The following is a 12,750-nucleotide window of genomic DNA, read 5'->3' on the forward strand; positions in this document are numbered from 1 at the left end:
GAACCTAAGCTCCCCACGAGCACGATCCTAGCGTACATATCTGCCTACCTAGGTGGTTCACCATTGAGCACATATTTATTGAAGTCCCATGTGCCGGCCATTTTCCCACGTACTGTGGATAAATGATAAGACAAGTCCCAGTTGTCATACTCTATTGGGGGTAGGAGGGAGAGGAGACACAATTACCAGTGAAATACATAAAATAATACAAAACAATGTCAGATAGTGGTAAGTGCATTGTCGAGAATTAAAACTGAGCAAATATCTGTGTTAGTTCCGGTCGTCAAGAAAGGCCGTTCAGAACTGACATTTAAGCTGAAGTGTGATGACAAGAAGAAATGAGCCATGAGAGGAAGAGCATTCCAGAATGGCAGAGTTCGTGCAATGGAGGAATTGAATTGGTCTTTTAAAAAAAAAAAAAAATCTAGCATACCCGGTGTGTAATGAGGAGTGGCAGGAATTGTGGTGCAAGAGCTAGGCAGCTGTTCGTTCATATAGGCCCTTTAATGTCCATTTAAGGGATGCTATTGGAGAGTTTTCAGCAGAACACTGATATGATATGGTTTAATTATTAAAATATTCTATGTGGCAAATGAATTATAAGGATACAAGAATGGCAATAGGGGTGCCATTCTTGTGGGAGACAAGGGAGACAATTAGGAGGTGATTAACATTGCCTAGGCATGAAATGATGATGGCTTGGTCTGGGGTAGCAGATAAAATGATGAAATAAAGATTTGGGATGCATGATATAATGAATGCCTAAACTATTATGAAGTCATTTAGTGTCTGTATTAGTTACCTAGGGCTGTAGTGATTAAGTACCACACACTAGGTAATTTAAGCAACAAAAATTTGTCACCTTACCCTAGTTCTAGGGGCTAAAAATCAAGGTGTCCACAGGTTTGGTTCTTTCTGGGGGCTCTGAAGGAGAATTATTCCATGCCTCTCTCCTAGCTTCTGGTGATGGCCAGCAATCTTTGGCATTTCTTGGCTTATAGTTGCATCATTTGGATCTCTGCCTCCATTGTGACATGGCATTTTCCTGTGTCTCTGTCTCTTCACATAGTGTTCTTTTTATTAGGTCACCAGCCTTATTGAATGAAGGACACACCCTATTTCAGTATGACCTCATCTTAACTAATTATATCTGCAATTATTATATTTCCAAATAAGGTCATATTCTGAGGTAATGTTAGGTTAAGACTTCAGTGTATCTTTTTGTGGAGAAATACAATTCAACCCATAACATTTTTGACACACCAAAACAGAGAAAATATTTGAGAAATAGAGTTTATAAGATTTGGTGACTGATTGGATATGAAAGTGAAAAGGGAATTAAAGATTGAACTTCTGAGCCTGGGGGAATTCTGTCTAGCAAAAATAAAGAAGGCCTTGAAAGAGGGAGAACTAAGTTCAAGGTGTCAGCTCCTGGATACCCAAGTCAATATGGCAGCTGGAAATGTAATTCTGGTGCCTAATAGATCATGTAGGAATGAAGATAACAATTAGAGAATGATCCATATGCGTTTACTAGCTAACGGTGGCAAATAGGAGATCCTCAATAAATATTTTGAAACCTTTCTTTCTTGGTATTTGAGTCTCATGTCACATGTTTGCTTTTCAATAGTTTGCATTACAAAGCCAAAGAGTTACTGATAATGTGCTACATCACAGTTGAACCTTAAAAACATAGCAAGTGAAAGAAACCACTCACAAAAGACCACATATTATATGATTCCATGTATATGGAATGTTCAGAATATGCAAATCTACAGAGAAAGAAAGCAGATTTTTAGCTTCCTAGGGCTGGAGGGCAGGGGAAACGAAGAGTGAGTGCAAGTGGATATGCGATTTCTTCTTGGTACACATTTTCTAAAATTAGTTGTGGTTATGGTTTCATGGCTCTGTGGATATACTAAAAACTAATTGTACACTTTAAATGGATGAATTGTATGGTATGTGAATTATGTCTCAAAGCTATTTTTAAAAAGATTCTGAAGGATAAAATAATACTAAATATGCTTTTTAAAAGGCAAATGATTTATACCAACTAAAGATAAACTAGACTATATAAATATACCTTTTAAAATTACATATCCCCCTCGTTGAAAATCATTAGCAATGAAAAAGAAAATCAGAGAGCAGAAAGAAAAAAGAAGTAACTTTTTTTTTTTTTGAGACAGGGTCTAGCACTGTCCCCCGGGCTGGAGTGCAATGGCGTGACCTCGGCTCACTGCAACCTCTGCCTCCTGGGTTCACGCGATTCTCCTGTCTCAGCCTCCCGAGTAGCTGGGATTTCAGGTGCACACCACCACACCCTGCTAATCTTTTGTATTTTTAGTAAAGATGGGGTTTCACTATGTTGGCCAGACTAGTCTCAAATTCCTGACCTAGTGATCTGCTGGCCTTGGCCTCCCAGAGTGCTGGGATTACAGGTGTGAGCCACTGTGACCAGCCAAATAAGTAACTTTTAAGAACAAGGAGTAGTGTTAAAGGGGAATGTGGCTTCTGACAAGAAAAAGGAGAACTTTCAGAAAAAAAGAGAGTGATCGGTGTTAGCCCTACTATCTTTTAAAATGTGATGGAGGACCCAGGGTCTATGGTTGTTTCATTTTCTCATCGTATGTGCTTTTGACCTCAAGTTTGTCTCCTTATGGTCATAAAATGGCTGCCACAGCTCTACGCATCACTCTCCTATAATGTGTCCGGAACCGGTGGGTTCTTGATCTCACTGACTTCAAGAATGAAGCCGTGGACCCTCGCAGTGAGTGTTACAGTTCTTAAAGGTGGCGTGTCCGGAGTTTGTTCCTTCTGATATTCGGATGTGTTCAGAGTTTCTTCCTTCTGGTGGGTTCGTGGTCTGGCTGGCTCAGGAGTGAAGCTGCAGACCTTCGCAGTGAGTGTTACAGCTCATAAAGGCAGTGTGGACCCAAAGAGTAAGCAGCCGCAAGATTTATTGCAAAGAGCAAAGAAACGAAGCTTCCACAGTGTGGGAAGGGACCCCAATGGGTTGCCACTGCTGGCTCACAGCCTGCTTTTATTCTCTCATCTGGCCGCACCCACATCCTGCTGATTGGTCCATTTTACAGAGAGCCAGGTGGTCTGTTTTGACAGGGCGCTGATTGGTGCGTTTACAATCCCTGAGCTAGACACAGAGGTTCTCCACCTCCCCACTAGATTAGCTAGATAGGGAGTGTTGATTGGTGCATTCACAAACCGTGAGCTAGACACGAGGTGCTGATTGGTGTGTTTACAAACCTTGAGCTAGATACAGAGTGCCAATTGGTGTATTTACAATCCTCAGCTAGACATAAAGGTTCTCCAAGTCCCCACCAGAGTAGCTAGATACAGAGTGTCAATTGGTGCATTCACAAGCCCTGAGCTAGACACAGGGTGCTGATTGGTGTGTTTACAAACCTTGAGCTAGATACAGAGCACCGATTGGTGTATTTACAATCCTTACCTAGACATAAAGCTTCTCCAAGTCCCCACCAGACTCAGGAGCCCAGCTGTCTTCACCCAGTGGATCCCGCACTGGGGCCACAGGTGAAGCTGCCTGCCAGTCCTGCGTCCTGCGCCCTGCGCCCTTCGCCCGCACTCCTCAGCCCTTGGGTGGTCGATGGGACTGGGCGCGTGGAGCACGGGGCGGCGCTCGTCCGGAGGCTTGGGCGGTATAGGAGCCCACTGAGCAGGGGAGGCTCAGGCATGGCGGGCTGCAGGTCCTGAGCCCTGCCCCGCGGGAAGGCAGCTAAGGCCCAGCGAGAAATCGAGCGCAGCACCGGTGGGCCGGCACTGCTGGGGGACCCAGTACACCCTCCGCAGCCGCTGGCCAGGGTGCTAAGCCCCTCATTGCCCGGGGCCGGCGGGACAGACCGGATGCTCCGAGTGCGGGGCCCGCCAAGCCCACGCCCACCCGGAACTCCAGCTGGCGCGCAAGCGCCACGCGCAGCCCCGGTTCCCGCTCGCGCCTCTCCCTCCACACCTCCCGGCAAGCTGAGGGAGCCGGCTCCGGCCTTGGCCAGCCCAGGAAGGGGCTCCCACAGTGCAGGGGCGGGCTGAAGGGCTCCTCAAGTGCCACCAAAGTGGGAGCCCAGGAGAGGAGGCGCTGAGAGCGAGTGAGGGCTGTGAGGACTGCCAGCACGCTGTCACCTCTCAATAAGGCCATATAAAAGGTAAAGAAAAATGCATTTCTCCTGTGTCTTTGCCAAGAGGAAAACTTTTCCCAGATGTCACTATCAAACTTCTTGTATCTCTTTGGCCAGAACTAGGTCACATGCCTACCCTGAAACAAGTGGCATAGAGTAATGTAACTTTTATGAGTAGCTTAAACTAATTGTCATTCACTGCTTGAGTTGGGACCACCTTCCATTACTGTCCAACATATGAATAAAATGGTGGTTCTGTTCCCATGGAAGAAAAGGGATGGCTAATCAACATGTGTGCCACATTTTTCTTTTCTATTCATCATAGATTCCACTACCCATGAAACTTGCCAGTGCTGTTAACTAACTTGTCGCCTTGTGATTTTGCCATACTCACATGACAAAACCCCAATCTGGGACCAATCAATTTGCCTTCTCCATTCCTGCATCCAGAGTACTATGAATGTCACACATACACACACAGAGATGCACACAGACACACACACTATAATTGTAGGAACTAATTTCATTAAAAATTTACCTTAGCTTTAAAAATCCTCTCCTCACACAAGGCCACTACAGTTTTACAGGCCACATACTACGTGAGCTATGCCCAGCAATTGAAAGCATTCACTCTACTCTCAGAGAGGAGCCTTCCCTTGCTCCACCACAGAAGTGCATCCTGCTTCTCAAGACATGAATTCCTTAGAAGTGTATTAACCTGCCAGGCGCGGTGGCTCACGCCTGTAATCCCAGCACTTTGGGAGGCCGAGGTGGGCAGATCACGAGGTCAGGAGATCGAGACCATCCTGGCTAACAAGGTGAAACCCCGTCTCTACTAAAAATACAAAAAATTAGCCGGGCGCAGTGGCGGGCGCCTGTAGTCCCAGCTACTCGGGAGGCTGAGGCAGGAGAATGGCGTGAACCCGGGAAGCGGAGCTTGCAGTGAGCCGAGATTGCGCCACTGCAGTCCGCAGTCCGGCCTGGGCGACAGAGCGAGACTCCGTCTCAAAAAAAAAAAAATAAATAAAAAAAATAAAAAAAAAAAAAAAAAAAAAATACAAAAAAACCAGGCATGGTAGCACGCGCCTGTACTCCCAGCTACTCTGGAGGCTGAGGCAGGAGAATCGCTTGAACCCAGGAGGCAGAGGTTGCAGTGAGCTAAGAACATGCCACTGCACACCAGCCTGGGCAACAGAGCAAGACTTCATCTCACAAAAGAAAAAAAAATGTGTTAACCAAGAGAAGGCACCTTTTTCTATTCCACACAATGGCACAGTGTAGGTGATAGTAGCCTTGTCCTTCTCTTCTTTTCTCTCTCTCTCTCTCTCTCCCTCTCCCTCCCTCCCTTCCTCCCTCTCTCTCTCTCTTCCTGTCTCCTCCTCTCTTGCCCCCCTCCCCTTTGCCCCTTAGTGATAACACTCTTCTTTCTTCATTTCCAGGCATTTGAGATATTATCCTATTTCAGTTTTTAGTGCACTGTGGGCTGTCTGGGCTGTGGCTATGCATGGCCACTGTGGGAGAGGATAAAGAAAACAAAACAGAAGATTCCTGAGCAATGGGGAGAGCCCAGCTGAGACTGGACATCAAACACCTCAAATAGTGCTGTGTGGCTGTACCGTTAGATTTTGTTCAGCATTGCTTAATAGACTGAGTATGTAAGCACCAAGTATAAATATTTTAATGAAGTTAGGGTTAGAAATGCACAGGATGAGTACAGCAGAAGGTCAGTAGGGCTGAGAAACTTCTGGCACTCGTGAACATGCCATACAAATGCTTAGCCATGGAATTCAGCTAGTGAGGATGGTTAAAACAATAAAGGAATTGGTGAAAATCTTTATTAGCGCTGGACCATTGATTTAGCAAGGATAAGAAAACTGGTTGGTAAATGAAAGTTGTTCTTAGATGTTAACAAAGACTCTGGATCCAGACTGCCTAAATTCTGATTGGCGCTTCATCATTTGTAACCTTGTCAAGTTACTTTATCTCCCTATGGCTTCGCTTTCTTAACTGCAAAATGTGATAAGGATTAAATAAGAATATTTAATAATTTAATAAGTTCTTAGGATAGTGCCCAGCATATTGTAGATACTATATAAGTGTCAGCTATTATTATTATTAATGGACTATGAACTTACTTTAAAAGGAAATGTGGCTTTTTCAGCAATGCATATATAACAGACACTCAGATTTTCCTATAATAGTATTTAAATTTATTCAGTGATTCTGGATATGAAATACTTAAACATGGAGGAATTATGAGGATGGATAACTTTATTTAATATTAAGTACTTAATATTAAATACTAAATGAAATATTGAAGTACCTACCGTGCGTATGGCATAATGTTAAAGCATTATGATGATATAAAGACCTGTGATATGATCCACTAAGGTCTTCACAATATGAAACATTTTGTAAATAAAATGTCAACAATGACAGCTCCAAATCCTATACAGTTGTATTAAAATTGTATTTTAAGGTGTAATCATAATTTTTAATCCCATTATTTATCTCTCTCTTGCTCTTTTGTTCCCCTCCCTTTCCCAAATGTATTAACTTCTTTGAAATTAAATAATTTGAGTATTTATTCCTTCACATTCCTCCACGAAAAGATCTAACACTGGATAAGGCAGTGGTTACACAATTCTATAAATTTACCAAAAATCATTCCATTAGACATGTAAAACAGGTGAATTTTATGTATGTAAATTATACCTCATAAAGCTATTTGTAAAATTTAGCCATGAAACTATCTCAGAATCTCCATTGAAAGGTAGATTTAATGCCTAGTAAGTGTTGGTTCCCCATCTACAAACTAACAGCCACTTATTTTCTTAATCCAGCAGAGGTTGTGACCACCTAAACTTCCTCTCTAACCTTCCCCTCTTAGCACCTACCCAGCTTCTCAAGAGAACCCTGGGGAAAGAGACTGTCATTCCGTCTTGAGACCTATTCATCCTCTAACATCTCTACTTAGATGGCCAACTGACGAGTGTTCAGGGTGATGGGGATTTTTGCCACCCGAAAACCAGAGTAAAGCAAACAGCCTTTTCCTGAGATGGTACTGAATAGTTTTTAAATGATAATGATTTTCAATTACTTTTGTCCTACATTGAATGAGAACCAGTAACCTCAAGGTGAAAGCCTCTAACTGTCAGGACAAATCCTCTGAGCATCTAGTCCTTTCCATTAGAATAGAAACAACTTCCCTGAATCTCAAACCTACCTGAAAAAACTGGCAATTTTTATTTCACTCAAAGTAACAGGCTTCCTTTATGCCTCTATGTTATCTCTAGTAATCATTTTATATCTGAAATTTTAAGTACTCCTTGGTTGTTCCTTATTTGAAATATTTGCAAACATTTTAGGCATAAAATTATGTAAGAATGGATTTGATAACTGAGCTTATCAAGAAGAAGCTATTTTGGAAGGAGACTAGAGTGACTCTTTAGAATAAAAGCTAATAATACACAGTGTCTTCTACAATCTGTGCACTGTTCAAATGTGTGTGTGTGTGTTAATATGAAGTTATGTATGTGTTTGTGTATTTTAATATAAAGTTGTATTTGTGTGTGTATTTTAACATAAAAAGGTGTGTGTGTGTATGTGCATGTGTGTATGTATGTGTAAAATCCTATGAGAAAGGTACAGAGCCAAAGAAAATTGCGCAAAGTGGTGCACCTAGCAGGAGTCAGGATTTGAACCCAGGTAGATCTTTTGCACAGTGCATGCTCTTAAGAACTGTTTTATACTGCCTCTCAGAAAGATGAATATGAAAGATAATAGCATGTTTGCTAAGTATTTAAGACAAAAGTCAGACAAGCAAAATTTAAAAGACTATGAATCTATTAACTTTACCTGAGTGAAACCCAGGTCCCTGACAAACTCAACCAATCCAGAATAAAGCAAAGATCCAAGAAATGTGGTGGTGACGATGTGTGTGTGTGTGTGTGTGTGTGTGTTGGGTGGGGGGGGGGGGCGGTGAATTATCACATAAAATTTAAGTCATGAAGCCCATGGATTAAATCTTCATTCAATGTACTAATCAGAAGACACTTCCAACTATTGTCACTTATTGTGTAGCTGGAATGATGATCCCCTCAAAATATATCCAAGTTCTAATTTCTAGAACCTATGAATGTTACCTTGTTGTTTAAGCCTCCATGGAGTCAAATTCTTACCTTATTTGGTATAAAGATGTAATTAAGTTAAAGATCTGGAGATGAGATCATTTTGGATTATCTGGGGTGGTCTAAATCCAATGACAACAGAAGAGACATGCAGAGGAGACAGTTACAGAGAAGACTAGGAGACAATCAAAGATTGAAGGGGTGCAGGTACAAGTCAAGAAATGCCAACAGGCACCTGAAGCAAGAAGAGGTAAACAACAGATTCTCCACTAGAGTTTCCAGAGGAAATGTGGCACTGATAGCACTTTGGTCTCTGACTTTTGGCCTCCGGAAGTATGAAAGAATATGTTTCTGTAGTTTGGCAGCCTCAGCAAACTTAATACATGTGTTTAGTCTTTTTGAAATGAGTTCTCAGTGATTGTAAGACAATCTGTAGAAGTGTACCAGCTCAAAGCAACTCAGTGAATTTAGGAGGGAAAAGCAGAGTTGCCCTATTATAGCTATTAATATATCTAATAAAAGTCACAGCAAGTAATCTTCCTCGTCTCTTGCTTCACCCCAATAGGAGGATTCGATGTAGTGCTCTAATTGGCCTGCTAAAAGGACAAGCAGCTCTGATAATATTGAGATGAATTATAATTATGATAGATCAAAATGTGTTAGAATACTGCTTCTGTGAAAAATGAATCATAATCATCTCCAGAATCAACTTTCGAACATTACATTTCTAAATTCCACATAGCTTATAGTAGTGTTTTGCTCAAGAGAATTCTCTTTAAAACTATATTATCACTGGAGTGGAGAAAAAAAAGCTGACCAAAGTAAACTTTGGAAAACAGTGTTTTGACTGGATACTGGAAGGCTAAAAGCAAGAAGAAATGTACATAAACACTGTATTCTAATTGGCAAATTTAGTTTTCACAGGGGTATGGGCTAGGAATTCAGAAGCTACTCTTCAAGTATACTACAGTTGAACAAGTAAGATGGACATGACAAATAAGCAATAGGAGAAAAATATTATAAACCCTGTGGTGCTAAATTAGAATCAGATAGCTGTATTAACTCACATACACACAAATAGGTAAATACAGAAATATGTGTGTGCATGTAGGTGGATGGGTGGGTAGGTGTGGCTGTGTGTACATGGGTTTGTATAGTACGAATATTTCTTAGCTCTGTCTACTGAGACAGTATAGAAGCAGTGACGAAACAGTGAAAAGAAGCATACCCAGCGCCCAGCCCTTTACACCATATTCCATTAAAGGAAATGGCTAACTCTAGGGTGAGGTAAGGAAAGTGAGAGATGAGTTTGGATTTTATAGTGACAGAAAGTAAAACTAAAAAGTGTTTATATATATTTATGTATATCTTCCATTTGGACACATGGGGCATGAACACAAGAGTCAACCCAAAAGAGTCCCCATGGTCCAAGCAGAAATCATTTGAATAACAAAATAAATAACAGTAGTATTAGATTATAGCCTCGAGAGTAAAGTAAATATCTATGAGTATACCCTAATATAAATAATAGATTAAGCACATCAGTAAATTGGGGAGAAAGAAAAACAATTACAGAAAAATTCCAAATTTATATAGAGCCTCCCCGCTCAGGAGATGGAGCTTAATTCTCCTCCACTTGACTGTGGGCTGGACTTAGTTATATGCTTTCAAATAATAGAATATGGAAATAGGAAAACAGTAAATTTATAGGGGAGAAACCTGTCAGACTCACCTTAACCAAATGTCAATAGCACCAGTGATAAGACATGATATGACATAACCTTTGATGTGATGAGAAACACATTTCGCCTCTGAGATATTCTCCCTTGAAGTTCATTGATACTTTTTTTTTTTTTTTTTTTTTTTTGAGACAGAGTCTCCCTCTGTTGCCCAGGCTGGAGTGCAATGGCATGATCTCCGCTCACTGCAACTTCCACCTCCCAGATTGAAGCGATTCTCCTGCCTCAGCCACCCGAGTAGCTGGGACTACAGGTGCGTGCCACCACTCCCGGCTAATTTTTTGTATTTTTTAGTAGAGACGGGGTTTCACCATGTTAGCCAGGCTGGTCTCGATCACCTGACCTCATGATCCGTGTGAGACAATATCAGACAAAACCAGACTGAGGGAGATTATGCAAAACACATAACTAGTACTCTTAAAAATAGTCAAGTTCGGCCAGGCACAGTTGCTCACACCTGTAATCCCAGCACTTTGGGAAGCCGAGGTGGGTGGATCACGAGGTCAAGAGATTGAGACCATCCTGGCCAACATGGTGAAACCCCGTCTCTACCGAAGATACAAAAATTAGCTCAGTGTTGTGGCGTGCACCTGTAGTCCCAGCTACTTGGGAGGCTGACATAGGAGAATCGCTTGAACCTGAGAGGCAGAGGAGGTTGCAGTGAGCCGAGATCGTGCTACTGCACTCCAGCCTGGCAACAGAGCGGGATCCCATCTCAAAAAAAAAAAAAGTCATGTTCGTGTATGAAAAACACAAAAGACAGAAAATGTCACTGATTGAAGGAGACTAAGGATGCATGATGAGTAAATGTGAAGCACTGTCCTGAAATGGATCCTGAAAGAGAAGAATGTTAGTGTTGAAATATAAATAAAGTCCATAGTTTACTTGATAGTATTGTTCCAATGTCAGTTTCTTCATTTTGACAAATGATTAAGGTGCTAGCAGAAAAAAAGTTGTGTGAAGGGCATATGGGAACTCTGTGCTATCTTGCCAACTTTTCTGTAAATAGAAAATTATTCCAAAATATATTTTAACCTATAATATTAACTATGACAAAATCTTAATATTTATCGATTTTGGAGAAAATACATGCAGGTTTAGAAAAATATTATTTCATGTATTTTTCTATAATTTTTTCTTAAACAAAAGATATTATAATACTAAGTTCCCCCCTTTTTCCAATGATAGTTTGTCCTTACATAAACCTTAGTTAATATTTAAATGAAAAATATACAATAATATTTTAATAATGTCATAGTTAATCAAAAATTTCTCTCTTCTTGCGGAATTAAGTGTAATGGATTTTCTGAGTTTCTATTAACTCTTTTGAGTTTACAAGGCTGCCACTTAGTTATCCGGTGGCATAGTGTTCTGAGAAATTTAAAGGAACTGCTACAAGTACCTAATTAATCCTTACAAAGTTGAGATAATCTGATTCATTAAAAGAACAATGTGTGCCTCGCACTGAACTAGAAATTTTTAATTACCATTTTGTACTTTGCCGATAACTTGATCTTCAGTGAAAGAAAGTGACTGTCTCTAGGTGATATACCAAAATGTTTAAGGCGCTGAGCTGCAGGAAATATAGCAAATCACAGGTAAATGACCTAAATTTTAAGAACTTATTTTTCACATGTTGAAATTGTATTCCTAGGCTATTTGATTCTTAAGACACTTCGAATAAGAACTCATTCTACCTATCTTTTTAAACAGTTATTTCATTTTAATAGTTGATACAAAATTTTCATAACATTGAATCACTTAAGTCATTGAACAATCTGACGTTACTTTCCAGTCTGAATTAATTCTTCCACTGTTTGCTTCCACCTATTTTTATTAAAATGTTTTCTTCTTTTCTAGAAACATTTCCCACTTGTTTAAGATTTTTTTTATTATTAGCAGTTGTAATAATGCCTTTTAAACTTGAAAATATTTAGTGTGCTCAAAGAGAATGCAGTGAAAACTAGGATATTGGTCTTGATATTGAATATTAAAGGTTTTTTTTCCCCAAAGATTCTGTTCTTACGTAAAACTAACAATCTAGGTATAAATTTACCTATATCAAAACTTCTTTCAAGAACTTTTTTAGAGATAACTAATTTTGCAGATATTCCTGCATAACCTACATTTAAAAACACCTACCAAATTAACTCTCATTGGTAAGATAATATTTCAGGAGACGGCTTATCATTTTACCTGAAAGAGTACCTGAAAGAATTACACTGTACTTTTGAGAGAAAAAAATGTTTGACAGAGGAAGGTTGAAACTTTTCTTCAGTAGGATGAAGTCAGAAAATTCAGTAAGATCTAAGAATAGCTCTCATATAAAAGGATCACAGAGGCTGGATTTGAGGTACACATTTCTGTGAAGTTCTCACTACTTATTAAATGGCAGATACTCTTACAGTATCTGTTTGTTTGTTCTTTCTTTAGTGAACAGTTAGGATTAAATTTCTTGCTTATTAAAACTGATACTTCACCAGAGTATGGGATTGTAATTAAATTAAAATATATATTTTATTTATATATATATATATATATATATATATATATATATATATGCATGTGTATGTAGAAGAAACTTTGATTCAGTATTTTACCATAAGCTGGATTTTCTACCCAAGACCTATATATAGAGTGTCTTGACCTGCCTATAGCTCATTTCCATTATTAAGATCAGCTGAGACTTCAGCTTTCAGCCAAGATGGAGTAATAAGGACAGGATTTATCCTA

The sequence above is a fragment of the Homo sapiens genome, chromosome 3 (assembly GCF_000001405.40).
Source record: "Homo sapiens chromosome 3, GRCh38.p14 Primary Assembly".
Taxonomy (NCBI): domain Eukaryota; kingdom Metazoa; phylum Chordata; class Mammalia; order Primates; family Hominidae; genus Homo; species Homo sapiens.